This window comes from Homo sapiens, chromosome 1 (assembly GCF_000001405.40).
Source record: "Homo sapiens chromosome 1, GRCh38.p14 Primary Assembly".
NCBI classification, from domain to species: domain Eukaryota; kingdom Metazoa; phylum Chordata; class Mammalia; order Primates; family Hominidae; genus Homo; species Homo sapiens.
In genome coordinates, this window is record NC_000001.11 from 113726992 (window position 1) to 113751293 (window position 24302).

At 39.0% G+C, this 24302-nt stretch overlaps 1 protein-coding gene across 19 annotated transcripts in view, besides 1 other annotated feature; it reads right to left on the reverse strand.

Moving 5' to 3' along the window:
* Window positions 1-24302, reverse strand: part of PHTF1 (putative homeodomain transcription factor 1) — a 63058-nt gene that overhangs the window by 30161 nt on the left and 8595 nt on the right. For 12 of the 19 annotated variants that reach the window (NR_136565.2, NR_136567.2, NR_136566.2 and 9 more), the window contains 2 exons: window positions 11739-11808; window positions 11119-11277 (listed from right to left, as the gene is read on the reverse strand). The exons of 1 other annotated variant lie outside the window; for it this stretch is intronic. Coding sequence is in view for 13 of the 18 variants with exons in the window: in NM_001323042.2 (NP_001309971.1) it covers window positions 11119-11277; window positions 11739-11808 (229 nt within the window). In the remaining 5 variants the exon portion in view is untranslated. Of the gene's footprint in view, window positions 1-11118; window positions 11278-11738; window positions 11809-22514; window positions 22599-24302 lie in introns of all 19 variants that reach the window. 6 more of the 19 variants (NR_136564.2, NR_136568.2, NM_001323045.2 and 3 more) reach the window with 1 other exon arrangement.
* Window positions 22436-22730: a silencer, noted in NCBI's record as "tiled region #5734; HepG2 Repressive non-DNase unmatched - State 15:Elon". NCBI's record gives its function as "represses a minimal TATA promoter and a strong SV40 promoter by Sharpr-MPRA in HepG2 cells {active_cell/tissue: HepG2}" and the evidence as "EXISTENCE:reporter gene assay evidence [ECO:0000049][PMID:27701403]".

Sequence of the window (24302 nt, forward strand, 5' to 3'; positions counted from 1 at the left end):
CTATGTTGCCTTTCCATTTCATATATAATGAAGAAGAAATACATATATGTGTATATATATATATATATGAAATGCAAATCAAAGCATATATATAAAATGTTTAAAGAAGTAAATGAAATGGAAAAATATCAAAAAGTATCTCCATATTTTAACATATTTCAGATTTTCACATAAATAGTAATTCTTGTGCTATACAAACTATTCCTGTGCGGAGAAAAAGAAAGTTACCTATTCCATGCCCTAATAAAATCCCAATACTCAAACACAATAATGAAAGTACCCAGACAATAAACTATAGATCTTGTTGACTTGAGAATGTAAATATAAATTTGCCACTAAAAAGTAAGCACCATGAAGACAAGGAGTTTTGTCTGATTTGTTCACCGCTATATCTAAAACTAGTACCTGGAGCACAGAATAGACACTCAATATTTGCTGGAAACCAGTACCTGGAGCACAGAATAGACACTCAATATTTGTTGGATAAATGATTGAAATACTACCAAAGTGAATTTGACATTTAAAAGTAGAAAATTTATCTCAGCGTTTAGAAGAATATTTGGCACAGACACAATAAGCTTAAGTATTTGTTGACTCAAGTGAATTAATGTAATAATTTCATACAATGTAATTTTGATCACATCTATACAAATCATCTCAATTGACAGTTATGTAATAAAGAATTTGGTTGGCGGCTGGGCATGGTGGCTCACACCTGTAATCCCAGCACTTTTTGAGGTCTGGTGGGTAGATCACTTAAGCCCAGAAATTCAAGACCAGCCTGGGCAACACGGCAAAACCCCATCTCCACAATACTCCAAAAAAATTAGCCAAACATGGTGGCACGCGCCTGTGGTCCCACTCCAAGCCTACTCAGGAGGCTGAGGTGGGAGGATCACTTGAGCCCAGAAGTCGAGGCTGTAGTGAGCCAAGATCACACCACTGCACTCCAGACTGGGCAACAGAGTGAGACCTGGTCTCAAAAAAGAAAAAAAAATTGGTTGGTGAAGCGGAAATGGACAAATGGGGTCACATCAAGATAAACCAAGATCACAACACTGCACTCCAGCCTGGGTGACAGAGCAAGACTCCGTCTCAGGGATGGCGGGGCGGAGGGCCGGGCCGAGGGAAGCTTCTACACAGCAAAGGAAACAATCAACCAAGAGAAGAGACAACTCACAGAATGAGAGAAAGTCTTTGCAAATTATCCATCTGACAAGGGATTAACAACCAGAATATATAAGGAGCTCAAACAACTCTATAGGAAATAACCTAATAATCTGATTTTAAAACAGGCAAAAGATCTGAATAGACATTTCTTAAAAGAAGACATACAAATGGCAAACAGGCATATGAAAAGGTGCTCATATCATTGATCACAGAAATGCAAATCAAAACCACAATGAGATATCATCTCACTCCCGTTAAAATGGCTTTTATCCAAAAGATAGGCAATAATAAATGCTGGAGAGGATATGGAGAAAAGGGAACCCCCGTACACTGTTGGTGGAAATATAAAGTAGTACAACCACTATGAAGAACAGCTTGGAGGTTCCTCAAATAAAGAAAAATAGAACTACCATATGATCCAGCAATCTCACTGCTGGGTATATGCCCAAAAGAAAGGAAAATGGTGGTTGGGCACTGTGGCTCATGCCTGTAATCCCAGCACTTTGAGAGGCCAAAGTGAGCAGATCACTTGAGGTGAGAAGTTCAAGACCAGCCTGGGCAACATGGTGAAACCCTGTCTCTACTAAAAATATAAAAATTTGCCAGGCATGGTGGCAGGCACCTGTAATCCCAGCTACTTGGGAGGCTGAGGCAGGAGAATCACTTGTACCCAGGAGGCAAAGGGTTGCAGTGAGCTGAGATTATGCCACTGCACTCCAGTCCCTGGGTGACAGAATGAGACTCTGTCTCAAAACAAACAAAAAGAACAAAAGAAAGAAAGGAAATCAGTATATCAAAGAGTCACTCCCACATTTGTTGTAGCACTGTTCACAACAGCCAAGATTTGGAAGCAACCTAAGTGTCCATCAGCAGATGAACGGATAAAGAAAATGTGGTACATATACACAATGGAGTACTATCCAGCCATAAAAAAGAATAAGATTCTGTCATTTGCAACAACATGGATGGAACTAGAGGACATTATGTTAAGTGATATAAACCAAGCACAGAAAGACAAACTTCACATGTTCTCACTTATTTGTGGGAGCTAAAAATTAAAATGACTGAACTCAAGGAGACAGAGAGTAGAAGGCTCTGAGGCTGAGAAGGGTAGTGGGGGTGGAGTAGGGGATGTGGGGATGGTTCATGGGACAGAACGAAAAATACCTAGTATTTGATAGCACAACAGGCTGACCTATAGTCAATAATTTAATTGTACATTTAAAATGAACTAAAAGAGTATAACTGGATTGTTTGTAACACAAAGGATAAATGCTTGAGAAGATGAATACCCTACTTGCCATGATGTATTATGCATTGCATGCCTGTATCAAAGTATCTCATCTACCTTATAAATATATATACCTACTATATACCCACAAAAATTAAAAAGTTAAAAAAAAAAAGAATTTGATTGGCATTTGATCCCAGTTCCTGGGAAGTGACCTCTAAACCCTTGAATTTCCTAAGTGACAGAAGTACCTTTGCTATTCATTGTGGGCCCCTTGTGCCAGGCCTGATAGTTTATGCTAACAAGGTACCTAAGGATGGCTGCTGGTCACACCAAAAAGACCAACTACGTGATTAAAGGCTTGGGTCTTTGAGCCATATTAGGAGACCTCTGAGGACTGAAGGGTGATGGAGACTGCATTCAACCACATGTCAATGATTCCATCAATCAGGCCTAAATAATAAAGTCTCAATAAAAACTCTACATACCAAAGCTTCGGGGAGCTTCCCTGGGTGGCAATATTTTGCATATTGCTACCTGAGGACAACGGAAGCATCCTGTTTGGAACCATCCCAAACACTCCTATACCTCTCCTCTCATTTATATTCTGTTGCTATAATGCAACTATAATTGTAAGTTTAGCACTTTCTGAAGTTCTGAGAGTCATTCCATCCAATCATCAAACCTGAGGGAATGCCTGGGGGACCCAAAACTATAGCTACCTGGTCAGAAGTGAGAGTGATCCTGGGGACCCCCAAACTGGAGGCTGATATCTGAAGGGAGAGCAGTCTTGTAGAGGATTGTGCCCTAAACCTGTGAAGTCTGGCCCAACTCCAGGTAACAGTAAAAAAAAAAAGCATTGTATTAAAAAAAAACACATACATACATTTGTTCTTGATTTGTAATTCATCTCAAATGCCCATATTTTCTAAACTATTAAGAATAAAAATATTTCCTTAACATGCTAAAGAATATATAAGTAAAATCAATACATATTATATGTTAGTGAAGATATTCTGAATCAGGAACAAAACAAGGATGACCACTCACTGTTATCATTTAACGTTACTCTGAAATGTTGACTGATTGGGTGAAAGTAAATGAAATGTATGTGAAAGGAGAAAACCAAATTGTCATTATTTGCCAACCATATGGTTGTATCATTATAAAATCTAATACAAGCACTGAAAAACAATTAGAATTGATGACAAAGAGTTTAATAAAGCGGCTGGTTATAACAATTTTAATTATAAACCAATAGCTTTCAAATGTGACAGCAAAAACCACTTAAAACTTGTAAAAATAGACTTAAAAAGTCATGTATTTTCAGCAGCAGCAACAAAGACAAAATATTTTAATTTCAGGTGGAAATCTCTAAGTATCTCTCAGAAGATGAATGTACAAACTAAACATGGTATCTACATACAATGGAATACAATTCAGCTTTAAAAAGGAAGAATTCTGAAACATTCTACATGGGTAACCTTGACGATGTTATGCTAAGTGAAATAAGCCAATTGCAAAAGGACAAATATTATATAATTCTGCTTATATGATGTTCCCAGAGTAGTCAAAATCATAGAGGCAAGGTAGAATGGTGGTTGCCAGGGACGATGGGTAGGGGAAATAGGGAGTTTAATGGGTATGGAGTTTCAGTTTGGGAAGATGAAAAAATTTTGGAAATAAACAGTGGGTAATGGTTGTATTCCAGTATCAGTATACTTAATGCCACTGAACTCTACACTGAGAAATGGTTAAGATGGTGAATTTCATGTTGTGTATATGTTACCACAATAAAAAAAATTGAATTTAACAAGATCTAAGCAGGCCTTATAAGAAAAAAATCCAGGGCTGGGTGTGGTGGCTCACACGTGTAACTCAAACACTTTGGGAGGTTGAGGCAGGAAGATCATTTGATCACTTGACGCCAGGAGTTCAAAGACCAGCCTGGGCAATATAGCGAGAGCCCATCTCTAAAAAATAAAAAATAAAAAACACCAGCTGAGCATGGTGGCACACACCTATAGTCCCAGCTACTCAACAGGCTGAGGCAGGAGGATTGCCTGGGCTCAAGGCTGTAGTGAAATACCATCACGCCACTGCACTCCAGCCTGGGAGTAAGAGTGAGACCCCGTCTCTATTTTAAAAAAAAGAAAGAAAGAAAGAAAGAAAAAAATCCTGCAAAGGTTTACTGAGGGATAAACAGAAGTCCTGATTAAGGCCAGGCGCTGTGGCTCACACCTGTAATCCCAGCACTTTGGGAGGCCGAGGCGGAAGGGTCACCTGAGGTCAGGAGTTCGAGACCAGCCTGGCCAACGTGGCAAAACCCCCGTCTCTACTAAAAATACAAAAAAATTTGCCAGGCATGGTAGCGGGTACCTGTAGTCCCAGCTACTCAGGAGGCTGAGGCATGAGAATCACTTGAACCCGGGTGGCAGAGGTTGCAGTGAGCCGAGATCAAGCCACTGCACTCCAGCCTGGGCAACAGAGCAAGACGCCGTCTCAATTTTAAAAAAAAAAAAAAAAAAAAAGGAAGTCCTGAGTAAAAGGAGAGCAATATCATATTTCTGTATAGCAAAGAGAATGTTGTAAAGAAGTCAAATTTTCTGTCCATCCTCCAAAAATATATGTATACATCTACATTTGTGTATGTGTGCTGGGGAAAGGGGATAATCAGAGAATTCCAATCCAAATTCCTGTATTGTTGGTTTTGGGGGGTCTTTTGGTTTTAATCACGATAAAATAATGCTAACCTATTTTGGAAAGGATAAACAAGAAAGCATGAGAGAAAATGTGGGAAAGCAGAATAATGAAGAAATACTTGGCCAGGCGCGGTGGCTCAGGCCTGTAATCCCAGCACTTTGGGAGGCCGAGGCAGGTGGATCACGAGGTCAGGAGTTCAAGACCAGCATGGTCAACATGGGGAAACCCCATCTCTACTAAAAATACTAAGATTTGTTGGGCGTAGTGGCATACGCCTGTAATCCCAGCTACTTGGGAGGCTGAGGTAGGAGAATTGCTTGAACCCAGGAGGCAGAGGTTGCAGTGAGCCGAGATCACACCATTGCACTCCAGTCTGGGCAACAGAGTGAGACTCCATCTCAAAAGAAAAAAAACAATTTTCCTGCTCAATGTTAATCCATATTAAACAGCTGTGTAGTAATGAAAGCAGTGTGGCATAGATATGAGAATAACCAGAAATTAATGGTACAGAGTATGTAGTCCAGAAACATACCATGGCAAATACAAAAATTTAATATATGGCATAGATATGAGAATAACCAAAACTGATGGTACAGAATATGCAGTCCAGAAACAGACCATGGCATATATGGAAATTTTATCTATATAGGATGCAGTATCTATCAACAAGGAAGGAATAAATAATTTAATAATAAATGTGTGGAAAAAATACTTAATTTTACCCTTACAAGTGACCAAGGAAATTCATATTCAACAAGCTAAATATTTTTTGCACGTCAAATTAGGTAACAATCTTTTGTTGAGGGGGCGGGCAGAGATGCAGTCAGGGTCTTACTCTGTCAGCCAGGCTAGAGTGCAGTGATGAATCATTGCTCACTGTAACTTCGAACTCCTGGGCTCAAGTGATCCTCCCACCTCAGCCTCATAGGTAGTTGAAACTACAGGCTTGCACCACGCCTGGCTAATTTTTTTTTTTTTTTTTTTTTTTTTGTAGAGATGGGATCTCGCTATGTTTCCCAGGCTGGTCTCAAACTCCTGGCCTCAAGTCTTCCCACCTCAGCTTCTCAAAGTTTTGGAATTACAGGCTTGAGCCACTGCCCCCCACCTAGATAACAATTTTTAAAATTATAATAATGCTGGTAAGACCATGGTAAAACAGGTACTCTCATCTATTGCTTTCCAAAACAACTGTGCCATCAGCAATTTCATTATATGTACTAAAAGCCTTAAATGTCCACATTCTTTGATCTGTTAATTCTATTTCAAAGAACAAATCCTAAATAAATAATATAAAATAAGGAAAACTTTGTTCCTGCTGGCATTATTAATAAAAAACACATAGAAACCACCTAAATGCCCACAATATGGGAAGATGCTATAACATATGTCCCCAACAAAACTCATATTGAAATCTTAATCCTTAATGTGATCGTATTAGGAGATGGGGCCTTTGGTAGCTGATTAGGTCATGAGGGCAGAGCTCTCATGAATGAGATTAGTAACCTTATTAACGAGATTCCAGAGAGCTCCTGTGGCCCTTCAGCAACATGAGGACCCAGAGAGAAGCAGACCCTCACCAGACACTGAATCTGCTAGTGCTCTGATCTGAACTTTTCAGAACTGTGAGAAATAACTTTTTGTTATTTATAAAGCACCTAGGCCATGATATTTTTGTTGTATCAGCCCAAGTGGCATAAGACAGAAATTGGTACTGAGAATGGGGGGTCCTACTATAACAAATACCTAAAAATGTGGAAGCAGCTTTATAAATAGGTAATGGGTGGAGACTAGACGAATACTTGAAGTACATAGTAGAAAAAGCCTAGATTGCCTTAAACATTTTTAAAAGAGATTCTGGTGAGGAATCAGAAAGAAAAGAGGAGGCCGGGTGTAGTGGTTCACACCTGTAATCCCAGCACTTTGGGAGGCCAAGGCGGGTGGATCACCTGAGGTCAGGAGTTTGAGACCAGCCTGGTCAACATGATGAAACCCTATCTCTACTAAAAACACAAAAATTAGTCAGGCATGGTGGCAGGTGCCTGTAATCCCCGCTACTCAGGAGGCTAAGGCAGGAGAATCACTTGAACCTGGGAGGCGGAGGTTGCAGTGAGCCAAGATCACGCCACTGTACTTCAGCCTGGGCAACAGAGCAAGACTCTGTCTTGAAAAACAAAATAAAACAAACAAACAAAAACAAAGAAAGAAAAGAGGGGAGCTAGAGAAAAAGCCTCAATCTTCTTAAAGAATACCTAAGTAACCATGAACAGACTATTGGTAAAATATGAGGTAAAGTCCATTCTGATGAGGTCTCAGATAGAAATGAGAAATAATATGTTATTAGAAACTGAAGGAAAAACAATCCTTGTTACAGAGTGGTAAAGAACTTGTTGAACTGTATTTGTGGTCTAGGATTCTGTGGAAAGTGAAACTCGCAAGTGATGAAATTGCATATTTAGCTGGAGCTATTTCTAAGCAAAGTATTAAAGGTGCAGCTTGGCTCTTCCTATGTGCTTATAGTAAAATGTGAGAAGAGAGAAATGACTTAAAAGACAGAATTGTTAAGCAAAAAGGAAGCATAACTTAAAGATTTGAAAAGTTCTTAGCCTATCCACATTGTAAAAAGTGAGAAAGCATGTTAGAGAGGTCCCCAGTCACATATAACCAGTTGGTTATAGTTTGGGGATGAGTGCCCTTATAGATGTGGCCTTATAAAATGACTCCTAAGAGCTCCCTTGCCCCTTCCACCATGTGAGGACACAGCAAGAAGACTGACACCTATGAATCAGAAAGCAGGCCCTCACCAGATACCACATCTTCTGGCACCTTGATCCTGGACTTCACAGCCTCCAAAACTGTCAAAAATAAATTTGTGTTGTTGATAAAACACCCAGTCTATGGTATTTTTCTTATAGCAGCCTGAACAGATTCATACAGAAAGGTTACGTAAATTACAGTACTCTTACATAATGGACTATTAAAAGCTATATAGGCCAGGTGTGGTGGCTCACACCTGTAATCCCAGAACTCTGGGAGGCTGAAGCAGGAGGATCACCTGGGGTCAGGAGTTCAAGACCAGCCTAGACAACACAGTGAAACCCTGTCTCTACTAAAAATACAAAAATTAGCCAGGCATGGTAGTGTGTCTCTGTAGTCCCAGTTACTTCGGAGGCTGAGGCAAGAGAATCACTTGAACCTGGGAGGCAGAGGTTGCAGTGAGCCAAGACCACACCACTATACTCTAGCCTGGACAACAGAATGAGACTCTGTCTCAAAAAAAAAAAAAAAAAAAAAAAAAAAAAAGGCAGCTATACAAAGATGTTTATGATAAATCCATATGATAGACTCTACATATGACTCTACATATGATAGACTGTACAGACATTAAAATGATAGTTTTAAATGATGGTATGCCCATATGATGAATTATTATGCAGCCATTAAAATGATCATTATGAAGACTTAATTTAAATCAAATAAAATTTAAAATTCAGTCTCTTACTGACACTAACTACATTTTGAATACTCAATAGCCACATATGGCTAAGTAGCTACTATACTGGGCAGCACAGACGCGGAACATTTCCATTACAGATATTCTAATAAATGACACTTTCACAACTTTAAAAAAATTAAACCTATAGATTTGTAAATTTATACATATATTTTTCACTCTATATCTTAAAAAAATTTTTAACTGACACAAATAGAAGAACCCATAATTCTTTCACCTTAACCCAACTTTCTCCCACTCTTTGTTCTAATTCATATCTTTTTGCAGAGATGTAACCATAGTATATACTGTCTACTTCCTTGGTAGACAATGGGGATACAGTCGTAAAGAGAATATATTGGGTCCCTGCACACAGTTAGAAAACATCAGGTAGCGATGTGTAACCCAGAAATTAAAATTGATTCTTATGATAGTGACTAGAGGGTATTAGGACTACTTAGAAATATAAATAGGAGGCCAGGCGCAGTGGCTCACACCTGTAATCCCAGCACTTTGGGAGACCGAGGCGGGCGGATAGCAAGGTCAGGAGATCGAGACCATCCTGGCTAACACGGTGAAACCCCGTCTCTACTAAAAATACAAAAAATTAGCTGGGCGTGGTGGCGGGTGCCTGTAGTCCCAGCTACTCGGGAGGCTGAGGCAAGGGAATGGCGTGAACCCAGGAGGCAGAGCTTGCAGTGAGCCAAGATCGCGCCACTGCACTCCCGCCTGGGCAACAGAGCGAGACTCCATCTCAAAAAAAAAAAAAAAAAGATACGTAGATAGGAATGGCCTCTTTATGAAAGTTACAACCCAGCTGAGATTTAAAGGTGAGAAAAAAGCCAGCCATTTGAAAAGCCTTAAGAATGCTTTAAACAGCCGGGCACAGTGGCTCACACCTGTAATCCCAGCACTTTGGGAGGCTGAGGCGGGTGGATCACCGGAGGTCAGGAGTTCGAGACCAGCCTAGACAACATGGTGAAACCCCATGTCTACTAAAAATACAAAAAATTAGCTGGACGTGGTGGCGCACACCTGTATCCCAGCTACTCGGGAGGTTGAGGCACGAGAATCACTTAAGCCTAGGAGGCAGAGGTTGCAGTGAGCTGAGATTGCACCACTGCACTCCAGCCTGGGAAAAAAGAGCCAAACTCCGAATGCTTCAAACAAAACAAAACAGCTCCGTGTGAAGAACAAAAAAAGGATATTATGTCTACAGCCAGCACGAGCAGAGTGGTAAGAAATAGGAGATGATGTCTGAGAGAAGAGCAGGCACCAGGTCCTGTAGGGCATTATAGGCCATGGTAAGAACTTTGGATTTTTATTCTAAGGTCAACAGAAGTCACTACAGGGTTTTAAGCAGGAAAATGACATTATATGGCTTCTGTTTTTAAAAGATTTTGCTAATTGCTGTGGAAAGAATGATTGGTAGAAAGAAGGCTCAGAGTAGATGTTATTCCAGTGGTCTAAGCAAAGAAATGCTGGTGCTGTGGACAATGATCATGGCAGTAGAGACTGAGATAAATATAGTGAAAAATTTGGAGGAAGAACTCACAGACTTGGTGACATATTACATGTGAGAGTTGATGGTAGGGTAGAGTAGGAAGATTTAATTTTTCACCTGAATACTGGGTGATTGATAGTATCATTTAATGAACTGGAGACAAAAAGAAGAACAAGTTTACACACACAGGCACATGTGTGCAGCGCACACACACACAAGTGAAGAGTTCCATTTTTTATATAATTAACTTCAAGATACCAATTAAATCTCCATATGGAAATGTCAAAGCAGGCAATTAGATTTATAAGTCTGAAGTGCAGCGGAGAGATCTGGCCTGAAGATATAGATTTGGGAATCACCTGTATATCAATTGTATTTAAAGCAATAGGCCTTAATGAGACTACTTAGAGAATAGAACCTAGGGTGCAAACTTTAGGTAATCCAATATTCAGGCTAAACGTGGTGGCTCACATCTGTAATCCCAACACTTTTGGGCCTAAGAATTCAAGACCAGCCTGGGCAGCATGACAACATCTTGTCTCTACAAAAAAATACAAAAATTAGCCAGGCACAGTGGCATACACCTGTAGTGCCAGCTACTTGGGTGGCTGAGGTGGAAGGATTGCTTGCGTCTGGGAGGTCAAGGCTGCAGTGAGCTGTGATCATGCCACTGCACTCCAGCCTGGGTGACAGAGAGAGACCCCGTCTCAAAAACAAAAACAAAAAACACACATACCCAATTTCAAAGGCTCAAAGGTCAGACACAAGAAAAGACTGAGAAGGCCTGGCCAGTGAGACAGGTAGAAAGAAACTCAAGTGAGGAGAAAGAGTTACACAAGTATGTTTGCTCTCTCATAGCAGATAATTTTAATATGAACCCCAAATGGCATATGTCTCTTCATTCTGTGTACTTTAAACTGTCAAATGAAAGGGTAAATGTAAAATCAGTAGGTCTTCATTATTTAATAGCAAAAGCAGCAAAAAGAAACTGTCATTGCTTATTCCAATTTCTCCAATTACCTTGCATGAAATAAAGTAGTAACAGCCAAACAAAGATTCTTAAAGAGGTAACCTGAATCCACCAATTGCTGAACAATGGAAAAAATACAACTCGAACAAGCCCCTTCCGAGTCAGAGATGTCCATGGAATTTCAGGTTTTGCTTTGGCAAATGTTGACCCTTTAAACATACAATAAAACAAAACATCAAACATTTATATACACTGTATTGAAGGCCACCTGTAGCACTACATTAAAAATAGGTGAGTGCAAAAATCAGCACAAAACCTGTTCAGTTAAAAAAAAAAACCCTCTTAGATGTTTGTTAAATGTAATAACTTCTTGCCTCAATCACTAGGACAGAAGCTCAAAATAAGTCAGGCTTACTTGAATGTTAAACAACATATTTATCTTAATTACACAACAGCAAGTCTCTACGTTCATCCCTCTTTTACATGTATGCATGTAATTTATAGAGTCACACAGTACTAAGAGGTGGAAAAAGTGCTAAAGCCTGAATGATGAGAGTAAAGTGTTACATTTAGAAATTAAAGTATACCATCATATAGAGAAGATATTGAAAATTAAGCATCCCTGTGAAATAATATAATAATGTACATAAAAAACAATTTTAAGACTAACCTCTGATTAAGTCAACGTCAATCAAGTCTGGCTTTATGTGGCCCATCTTTTTCGGTTTGTTTTTCAAACCCTAGGATAAAACAAAACAAAAATAAAATCAGAAATAAAGAAAAGCCCTTTTATTTATTTATTTATTTTTGAGACACAGTTTCGCTCTTGTAGCCCAGGCTGGAGTGCAATGGCGTGATCTCGGCTCACTGCAACCTCTGCCTCCCAGGTTCAAGTGATTCTCCTGCCTCAGCCTCCTGAGTAGCTGGAATTGCAGGTGCCCACCATTAAGCCCGGCTAATTTTTTGTATTTTTAGTAGAGATGGGGTTTCACCATGTTGGCCAGGCTGGTCTCAAACTCCTGACCTCAGGTGATCTACCCACCTCGGCCTCCCAAAAGTCTGGAATTATAGGTGTTAGCCTCTGCGCCCAGCCAGAAAAGCCCTTTTAAATACAAAAAATAAACTTACATTTCTTTTTCTCTATATCTGATTCCCTTTTACTGGGGACACTTTAATCCTAAAGCTCCTTAAAGGAACTTGCCATTAATACATATTTTGTTTTAGTTTTTAATCCTCTCCACTAATGCATCAATATACTTTATCACTTTTTAAAATATTCGAACAGTGCCAACAGATCAATACGTGAAAAACAACAGTCCCCTAAGCCATCTCTCCTCTCCTCTGAATTTCACTCCTCAAAAACAAATAACTTCCATCTTTTTTTTGCTTCTACTATTTTTAATTGACACGTTATAATTGTGCATATTTATGGCGTAGAATGTGATATTTCAATACATGCATACAATGTGTAATGATCAAACTATATCTATCACCTTGAACATTTATCATTTCTTTGTGTTGGGTTCATTCAAAATCCACCCTGCTAGGTATCTGAAAAAATATAATAAATTGTTAATTATAGCCACCTTACAGTGCTACAGAACACTAAACCTTATTCCTATCTAGCTGTACTTTTGTATTTGTTAACCAACCGTTGGCTATCTGTCATTGCCTCCCTCTTATACTTCCCCACCTCTAATAACTACTATTCTACTCTCTACTTCTATGAGATCAACTTTTTAGCTTCCATGTATGTGTGAGAACAGAAAGTATTTATCGTTCTGTGCCTGGCTTATTTCACTTTGCATAACGTTCTCCATTTCCATTCTTGTTGCCATGAATGACACAACTTCATTCTTTCTTACAGCTAAATAGTATTCCACTGTGTATATATACCATATTTTCTTAATCCATTCACCTGTTGATGGACACGTACACTGAATTCCATGTCATGACTATTGTGAACAGTGCTGCAATAAACATAGGAATGCAGATATCCCTTCGACATACAGATTTTCCTTCCTTTGGATATATACTGAGACTGCTGGATCATATGGTAGTTCTATTTCTAGTTTTTTGAGGAACCACGAGACTGTTTTTCATAATGGCTGTACTAATTTACATTCATACCACCAGTGTATAAGAATTCCCCTTTCTCTGCATCCTTGCCAGCATTTTTTTTTGTCTTTTTGATAATAGCCATTCTAATTAGGTTGACGTGGTATCTCATTGCGGTTTTGATTTGCATTTCCCTGATGATTGGTGGTATCAAGCATTTTTTCATATACCTGTTTGCCATCTGTATTGTCTTCTTTTGAGAGATGTCTATTCAGCTCATTCACCCATTTTAAAATTGAAGTATTTGGATTTTTGCTATTGAGTTATTTGAGTTCCTTATATATATTAATCCCTTTTCAGATGAAAAGTTTGCAAATGTTTTCTCTCATTCTGTAGGTTGTCTCTTCAATCTTGATTGTTTCCTTTGCTGTGCAGAAGCTTTCTAGTTTGATACAATCCTATTTATCTATTTTTGTTTGTTACCTGTGCTTCTGAGGTCTTCTCCATAAAATCTTTACCCAGACCAATGTTCTTAAGCATTTCCCCTATGTTTTCTTCTAGCAGTTTCAGGTCTTACATTTAAATCATTAATCCATTTTGACTTGATTTTTGTATATGGTGAGAAATAGTGGCCAGGTGCAGTGGCTCACCCCTATAATCCCAGCACTTTGGGAGGGGCCAAGGTGGGAGGATACTTGAGGTCAAGAGTTTGAGACCAGCCTGGCCAACATGCTGAAACTCTATCTCTACTAAAAACACAAAAAGTAGCTGGGCATGGTGGCGGGCACCTGTAATCCCAGCTACTCAGGAGGCTGAGGCAGGAGAAGCACTTGAACTGGGAACATGGAGGTTGCAGTGAGCTGAGATCACACCACTACACTCTAATCTGGGTGACAGAGCAAGACCCTGTCCCTTAATTTAAAAAATAAAAATAAAATAATTTGCACATGCTAATTCTTAATTATGTCTTAAAAATTAGATATTCAATCACTAAAATTAATGCCAAAATTAAAGGTTACCGTAATTTGCTGTTTACCTATTACAGACATTGAACCAGTATTGATCTTTAGCTTTGCTTAAACAGATGCAGTCAGTTTCTCTTGTGAATCTTATATATTTCTATTCAACTCACCATAAGCTGTAGATTTTACAGAAAAATGTTCTAAAACCTTAAATGTAATAAAATTAAAGAAGGAATCAAAATTTGAAAATGAGGCAACTCAAGGAAAAAACTCTTTGAAGAAACATGTACACTAATTTTTGAAATATGCATAATTTTCATGAGAATAACAATTATCTTGTGTACTATATTCAAAATCAGAAATTAAAAATTTAAAGGTAAAAATATTACTTTTTACCTTTTTGGACATTTGTCCCAGTGCTAAGCTTTCTGGACATTTGTACCAGTGCTATTCCCCATCACTTTAGAGCCAAAATAATTTTTCTACTTTCTTTGCTTTCTAGACTTTTCTCCAACAATGTTACAGAGTTAGAATTAGCATTAACTAGAGGTAAAATTATCCAAAGCTCCCTTAGCAATAGAAACACATTTATTCACTCAGTCAACAAATATTCGACAAGTATCTTCTATATGTCAGATAATCTGCTTGAGCTAGGTATAAAATAATAAGTCAAAACACGGCTCTATCTTCAAAGAATGTACAGTATAGAAGGGAAGACAAACAATAATGCCAAATGTACAAGGGTTTCTCAGGAAAATACCCTCTGAATCTCCCCATTTTTTTATTTCCTAAAGGGACAGAAATCATTAATAAACTTATGACTACTGATCTTATGGGAGATTACAAAAGTCACAATATACTGTTGTATATTTTGCACTGAGGGAGAGTAAAAAACACATTCCATACTTTAGAATCCTTCTGCTTTATCTTCCACCGTGCATGTATGTGTAACAAGAGGAAGTACATGGCAGGCACTATCCTAAGCACTTTTACATATAGTCATGCATCACTTAATGTCAGGGATACATTCTAAGAAATTCATCTTTAAGTGATTTCACTGTTGCCTGAACATCATACAGCGTAGTCACACAAATCTTGATGGTAAAGCTTACTACACACCTAGGCTATATGGCAGCCTATTGCTCCGAGGCTACAAATCTGCCCAGCATATTACTATGCAGAATATTTAGGCAATTTTAAACCCAGTGGTATTTGTGTCTAAACCTAAAAAAGGTACAGTAAAAATATGGTATAAAAAATGGGGCTGGGCGCGGTGGCTCACACTTGTAATCCCAGCACTTTAGAAGGCCAAGGCAGGAGGATCACCTGAGGTCAGGAGTTTAAGACCACCCTGGCCAACATGGTGAAACCCCCGTCTCTACTAAAAATACAAAATTAGCCAGGCGTGGTGGTGGGCACCTGTAATCCCAGCTACTCAGGAGGCTGAGGCAGGATCACTTGAGCCCGGGAGGCTGAGGTTGCAGTGAGCCAAGATCGCGCCATTGCACTCCAGCCTAGGCGACAAGAGTGAAACTCTGTCTCAATAAAGAAAAAAAAAAGATAAAAAATGGTACACCTGTATAGGGCACTTATCATGAATAGTGCTCTCAGGATTGGGAGTTGCTCTGAGTGAGTCAGTGAGTGAGTGGTAAATGAAAGTGAAAGCCTAGGACACTGCTGTAGTACACTATTGTAGACTTTATAAACACCATAAACATAGGCTACACATTTTTTAAAACCTTCCTTTCTACAATAATAACTTTTTTTTCTCTGGGACAGAGTCTTGCTCTGTTGCCCATGATATAGTGCAATGGCACGATCACAGCTCACCACAATCTCATCCTCCTGGGCTCAAGCAATCCTCCTACCTCAGCCTCCCAAGGAGTTTTTTGTTGTTGTTGTTGTTGTTGTTTTTGTAGAGAAGGGGTCTTGCTTTGTCACCCAGGCTGGTCTCAAACTCCTGGTCTCAAGTGATCCTCCTGCTGTGTCCTCTCAAAGTGCTAGAATTACAGGCATGAGCCACCTCACCCAGTCTGTTCTATGATAACTTAACCTTAGCTTACTGTAATGTTTTTACTTTATAAGCTTTATAATTTTTTTAACTTTTTTACTCTTTTGTAATAACAGTTTAAAAACACACATTTTCTTTATATCTTCATAAGCTTTTTTTTTTCTTACTTTTTAAATAAAAACTAAGACACACACAGCCAAGGCCTACATAGGGTCAGGATCATCAATATCATTGTCTCCCACCTCCATATCTTGTCCTACTGTAGGGTCTTCAGGGGCAATAACACACAGGGAGCTGTCATCTCCTATGATCACAATGCCTTCTTCTGGAATACCTCCTGAAGGACCTACCTGAGACTGTTTTACAGTTAACTGATTTTTTTTTAATAAATAGAAGGAGTCCACTCTAAAATTAAACAATTCAAAGTATAGTATAGTAAATATATAAACCAGTAATATAGTCATTTATTATCATTATCAAGTGTTAGATACCGTACATAACTGTATGCTATACTTTTTATGACTGACAGTGCATTTGGTTTGTTTACTCCAGCATCACTCCAAACACATGAGTAATGTGTCGTGCTATGACTTTAGGATGGCTACAAAATCACTAGGCAATAGGAATTTTTCAGCTCCATTATAATCTTATGGGACCATTGTCGTATATGAGGTCCATTGATGACAGAAACATCATTATGTGGCACATGACTGTACTTAAGTTAACTTGACTCATTTAATCCTCACAAATGTCCTATGAGATTGGTACCTTTATTATCCTCACTTTACGGATAAGGCAACCAAGGCAGAGATTCCAACCCTTTCATTCTCATTCCAAAGTCTGTGCTCTAACCACTACACTATCCTGCCTTTCGCTATATGACACAAAATGCATCCCTAATCAAAGTAGAGAGAGGTTTTGTTTAAATCAAACAAGACTGCTTAACTTTGAGAGGTTCAATGGGCATTATGAGTGGATTTCCTTACTGGCCACAACCTCTACCTCAGCAGCCCAGGAAAAGATTGTAGGACAGAATCAGCATAATCACTAGTTGCCAGAGTAGTGGTCTGGAAATTCTCTGCAGATCCCCAGCTGTAGGCTGTACGCAGCCCTCTCTACTGTCTGCCCCCAACATAACTGTGCAACATCATCACAAGCTCAGAACCACTTGACAAATGAAGTCCCCACTTTTTGGAAGAGGAACAAAAACACTGGAGGTATTGATGCAATATAATTGGACTTTGTATTAAACAAGGAATAAAAAACAAGTGAAACCCTGTGAGAAATCTCTATTTCCTAGGGTGCTGAAATTTTCTATTTTATTACAATCAAAAGAATTGAACTATTTATACAGTCTGGTGCAGAGAGGGAAGTTACCCCTGATTTGGGGCATATGGTGAACAACAAAACAATTACAAGGCAAGTATAGCACTACAGGAACATCCATAAAGGACACCTTATTCACATTTAAGAAGTCCAAGAAAGATTTCCACAAAGAAAAATAGTATCTAACCTGATACCTGAAGAATGTATAAGAACTTGTAAAGTTGCACATGTGATATAGCAAAATGAGGAATCAAGAAACACATATGATCATGCCTGCAATCCCAGCACTTTGGGAGGCTGAGGCAGGCAGATTCCCTGACCTCAGGGCGACCAGCCTGGGCAATATGGTAAAACCCTGTCTCTTATACTAAAATGCCAAAAATTAGCCGGGAGTAGCTGCTATGAGCCTGTAGTCCCAGCTACTCAGGAGGCTGAGGCAGGAGAATTCCTTGAATCAGGGAGGTGGAAGCTGCAGGGAGACAAGATCAAGCCACTGCACTCTAGCCTGGGTGACAGAGCAAGACTCTGTCTCGAAAGAAGGGAATGGAAGGGAAGGGGAGGGGAGTTGGGGAGGGGAGGGGAAGGGAGGGCAGGGCAGGAGAGGGCAAGGCAGGGCAGGGCAGGGCAGGGCAGGGCAAGAAAGAAAGAAAAGCATGAGAGGACCCAGGAATAAGAGATAGCATGGTAAAAACTAAAGTAAGTTTGAGAAGGCCTAAAGCACAGAATGGAAGTGAAAAGAGGTCAAGACATGGGTGAGAGAGGTAAACTTGTGAGATGAGAAGAAGCCATAATGTGAAAACTATAACCATGCTAGGAGTATGATTTTATTGTAAGGGTACTAGGAAGTCAGGAAACAGTTTTAAGTATGAGAAAAATAATCAAATTTGTGTTAAAACAGAAACCAAAAAACAACAACCTGGCTCTGCTATAAAGAACAGATGGAGGGTAAAGAGAGATAGGAAGCAAGAGAAAGCAGTTAGAAAGTTAAAAAACCTACCCCAGTAATCTAATCAGGAGTGGACAAAATTTTTCTATAAAGAGCCAGATGGCATTTTAGGCTTTATGGACTATATCAGGGGTCTCCAACCCCCAGGGCATGGAATAGTGGTACGTGGCCTGTTAGGAACCAGGTTGCACAGCAGGAGGTGAGGGGCAGGTGAGAGAACAAGGGAAGCTTTATCTGTATTTACATCCACTCCCCACTGCTCAAATTACCACCTCAGCCCTACCTCCTGTCAGATGAGTGGCGGCATTAGATTCTCACAGGAGTGCAAACCCCACTGTGACCTGCACATTCGAGGGATCTAGGTTGCATGCTCCTTATGAGAATCTAATGCCTGATGATCTGTCACTGTCTCCCATCACCCCCAGATGGGACTGTCTAGTTGCAGAAAAACAAGCTAAGGGCTCCCACTGATTCTACCTTATGGTGAGCTGTACAATTATTTCATTATATATTATAAGGTAATAATAGAAATAAAGTGTACAATAATTGTAATGTGCTTGAATCATTGTAAAACCATCCCCCCACACCAGTCCATGGAAAAACTGTCTTCCATGAAACTGGTCTCTGGTGCCAAAAAGGTTGGGGACTGCTGGACTATACAATCTCTGTCACAACCACTCAGCCACTGTAGCACTAAAGCAGACACAGACATTGAATATAAATATGTAAAGCACTAAACCTGGCTGTGTTTCAGCTAGATTTGCACATAAGCAATAGTTTGCCAACCAGATGAGTAGACAATAGGTTAGACCAGGTAATTAGAAGCGTGAACTGGGAAGAGTACTCATATTCAAAAGATATTTAGCAGGTATCATCCAGAAGTATTGGTAACTGAAAATGTGAGATTAGTGTGAAGGTGAAGAACTCTAAACCCTGACTTCAGTACTTTAGCAATTCACTGAATAGGAAAGGTAAGAAAATGAAAAGTATTGGGTCATGGGAGGAAGGTCACATTCAGCTCACATTCCACTGGCCAAGCAAATCCCCTGACTAAGGTGGAAGTCTGTGGGGCCAGGAAGAATTCTTCTCTTATAGGAAGGCACTGCAACTCACATGACAGTAAGTGCAGCCATATAATCTTCTTACAGGTAAGAATAATTACAGGTAGTGAATAATTAGGAAAATTACTATAATATACAGTTCAGTCCATCTGACTCTAAATTTCTTGCCTAAATGCTAAGGAGATTTGTTGGTTTTGGCACCGGTATAAATAAAGCATATTGGTATAGCCAATATACGTAAATACTCACATACCTCTAAATCTACCTATCGCATATGGAAATATATGTATATCCTATTACTCAGGTAACATCATTTAATGTATTATTTGGTTTTGGAGGAAAAATGTTGTAAAATTAAATCTTTATTTGTACTAAAATAATACTCATATTACAAGGTTAATAAAAAATAACATTCCAGTCTCACCCTTCCTTACCCTTGATTCATACATCCTAGCTATTTCTTCTCTTTACTTCTAAAACAAAAAATGTTTACAGTGCTTTCATCAATTTCAGATGTTATCCATTCATTTCTTACTGTTGAAGATGAGGAAATAACTCTTATTTAGCCTTTCTATGCCTCAATTCCTTCACCTATAAAAAAGGGAAGATAATAGCACATACCTCATAAGATTATCATGAGGATCAATTGTGTGTGTTGCTTAAAACAATGCAAGACATACTACACACTATTAATGATTACAGCATCACCAAACACGCACGCCCTCCTGAACTATAGTTTTTTCCAATAGAGTTTTATCACAAATTTTTGTTACATCAATGTTTAGAGGGTTATAATTACATAAATATTGTTCACAGCTAAGCCAAGTAGTGAACTATTATATTTTCCTCTCACAAATTTTTTGCTTGTCCTAGAACTGTAATTGCCTCATTTTTTAATGCACTTAATCTTCTATTACTAATTCATCTTTAAACTCCCTCTGTTACATATCTGCTTCCAATATGCTCGAACACAACATATATCAGTTTAGTTTTCCCCCTTCAAGAGTTCTATATCAATTTTCTGTCCTCATACTCCATTCTGGACTGGTTGTTTTCTAGGTCAGATATAAGGTATCATCCTGAGACATTTGCAATTATCCTGGAATTCCTTTTACTTTGCTGTGTTGGCTGTCCTGTTTTCTGACACTATGAATTCCTTTCTGGCTTATTCATGGATTATAATACAGTACATGTCCTCCCACAGCTTTCTGAGAGAGGGAGTATGGGATATGAATTTTGAGACTCTAAGTTCAAAATATATCAGTGGTGCCTTTGCACTTGATTAATAATTAGGCTGGGCATAAAACTTCAGGTTGAAAATCACTTTCTCTCATGTGCCATTGTCCCTCACCTTCCACTGAACATTCCATTATCTTTTAGCTTCCAAATGAGCTAGAAGTTGCTGCTGAGGGGCAGTATCTCTGACTCCCAATTTTTGTCTACATGATCCGTTTTGATCCTTCACTCTACTCCATGCTTAACCCAAGCTCTAATTCTAAATGTTCTGAAATTTCATGATAATGTTTCTCAGTGCTGATGACTCAAAAGATCCTTTTATTTTCCTTTTTCTTTTGAGACAGAATCTCGCTTGTCGCCCAGGCTAGAGTGCAGTGTTGTATTCACGGCTCTCTGCACCTTTGAACTCCCAGGCTCAAAGGACCCTTTCACCTCAGCCGTCTGAGTAGCTGCGACTACAGGCACACACCACTACACCCAGCTGATTTTTAAATTTTATTGTAGAGATAGGATCTCACTTTGTTGCCCAGGCTGGTCTCAAACTCCTGAGTTCAAGGGATCCTCTTGCCTCAGCCTCCCAAAGTGCTAGGATTACAGGCGTGAGCCACCATGCCCAACGAAAAGATCCTTTTAATCTGGAAATACATACACAGTACTGCATTTCTGGGGCAATTTTTAAAATTATTTATTAATTTCTTCTTCTCCATGTATTTCCTTTTTCTGGAACATCTATTAGTTGGATATTACATTTCCTGCATGAATTGCACTCACTTTGCTATTTTCTTTTTTGTTGTTCATTTTTATACTACTTTTCTGGGAAATGGTCTCAAATTTATCTTCTAACTTTTCCACTGAATTTATTTTAATTTTTATTTATTTATGTGTTTATTTTTGAGACAGGGTCCCACTCTGTCACCCAGGCTGGAGTGCAGTGGTGCAATCACGGCTCACTGCAGCTTCGACTTCCCAGGCTCAGATGATCTCCCACCTCGGCCTCCTAAGTAGCTGGGACTACAGGCATGCAACGCCAAGCCCAGCTAATTTTTTTGTATTTTTTGTAAAGACAGGGTATCACCATGTTGCCCAAGCTAATCTTGAACTCCTGGGCTCAAGCGATCAGCCTCGGCCTCCCAAAGTGCTGAGATTACAGGCGTGAGCCACTGTACCCAGCCACCCCTGAATTTATTCTGATTATTTTTATTTTCTAGTCTTCTCACTTTCTAATCTATAGTCTATTTTTTAAGCATTCTTAATTTTTAAATTGACAGATAATATTCTATGTATTCAGTGTGTACAACATATTCTGAAGTGGATATACACTGTAGAATGACTAAATTAATATATACATTACCTCACATGGTTATTATTTGTGTGGTGAGAACACTTAATATCCACTCTCTTAGCATTTTTCAAGAATACAACATACTAACTATAGTCACCAATGTTATACAATAGATGTCCTGAAGATATCTCAGTCTTTTTATAGTATCCAGTTCTTTAAAGGTAGTAATTATATCTTTAAAAACACTGTTTTTATGATTCCTGCATTGCTTCTTTTCTCTTTTCTTCTTTTTCTTTAGGTCTTAAATATTTGATGATCTTTAATTATCCATTTATAATTAACAGTCACTAACACACTGAATGCAAGCTCAGTGTGCAATGCGTGAAGCATTTTGAATAGTGGACCTCACTATAGAGGCGTGGCCAGTCATTTCACTTTTCAGTATCCTTAGGTTCTCTTTGGTTACTCAGTTTTGACGAAAAGAAATTCCAGTCTTCTGTTTGCAGATTATAAATCTGACGACCAGACTTTCACTTAATCCCCATTATTAGTGCAGCATCTCACCAGACTCTGATTTGTTTCTGGTCTTCCAGAATCCAGAACTTCTCTGGCTCAGCCTCTCCAGAGAGCAAGCTTCAACCCGGTCTTCTGTCAGAGGAAGATAAGGGTAACTATGTGGCTACATGGAATAAGGAAGATCTGGGGGTAGATCTATTATCCCTTATACACATGTTCAAACAATCCTGTCTTTAGTTCTTTCTCACTCCTACAGATTATACCTGATACATCTAATTCCTGAGTCTTTCAGAAGTTAATTACAGGGGTTTTACTTGTTTCCTATTGGCTTTCCCTATTGCAGGCACTTAAGAGTTTTACTTCTTTCATTTTCCAACCTTCGAAATTGTATTGATAGCTCTCATTTACTGTAGTCTCTTCTTCCATTCTTTAAGTCCTTGCAGGCTGCCATGATTTTTTCTTATCTGTTGTACTTTTAAAGAGGTTTCAGGAGAGATTAGTGCATGTATTTGAACTACCATTTTTTGGGTTTTGTTTTGTTTTTGTTTTTTTTTCAGGACAGGGTCTTGCTCTGTCACCCCGTCTAGAGTGCAGTGGCACAATCATAGCACACCACAGCCTCAAACTCCTGGGCTCAGGCGATCCCCCCCAACCAGCTTCCCCAGTATCTGGGACTACAGGCACATGCCCACCACACCCAGCTAATTTTTTTATCTTTTTGTAGAGCTATGTTGCCCAGGCTGGTCCCAAACTCCCGGCCTCGAGCAAAAACCTCGGCTTCCCAGAGTGCTGGGATTATAGGCGTGAGCGACCACGCATGGCCTCAAACTGTCATCTTTAATGAGGAGTGTCAGTGTCATCTATCATATGGCCACCATCCTGCTTAAATAAAACATTATAAATACAGCTGAAGTAGTCTCTGTGCTTCTGATTAGCCTTTTTTATTCTCTAAATACAAAACCATGCTATCTTCAAACAGTGATTTTTGTTCACTCTAATATTAATTTTTAAAAATAAAACACACAAAAAAGAAAAGATAATATTAATTAATATTAATTAGAATGTTTTGCTCATCTTAGCAAATGTATCTCAAACAGTATGCTAAAGAGTAGTAAAAGGGGCCAGGCGTGGTGGCTCACGCCTGTAATCCCAGCACTTTGGGAGGCCAAGGCAGGCAGATCATGAAATCAAGAGATCGAGCCATCCTGGCCAACATGGTGAAACCCCACCTCTACCAAAAATACAAAAATTAGCTGGGCATGGTGGCGTGCGCCTGTAATCCCAGCCACTCGGGAGGCTGAGGCAGGAGAATCACTTGAACCTGGGAGGCGGAAGTTGCTGTGAGCACTGCACTCCAGCCTGGGCAACAGAGCAGGACTCTGTCTCCAAAAAAAAAAAAAAAAGATTAGTAAAAGGGGAGATTCTTATTTTAGGCTTATTTTGGAGGACTAAGTTACACTCCATCACTGAAAATAATATTAGACATTAGATTTAATATATTCTCTCAATTAAAAAATTTTAGGGCTGGGTGTGGTGGCTTACATCTGTAATCCCAGCACTTTGGGAGGCCAGGGAGGGAGAACTGCTTAAGCCCAGGAGTTCAAGACCAGCCTAGGCAATGTGGTGAGACCTTGTCTCTACAAAATATAAAATATTTTTTAAAAATTTAGAAAACAATTTTAATTGTGAATATGTATACATTTACATTTTTGGTGTACTATATTATGATTTTTCCTACTTTTACTATTGGTATAATTTTTAAAGTAGCTTTATTGAGGTATAATTTACATACTATTAAACTAAACTATTTTTACAGATTTAGTAAATAATTTAGAT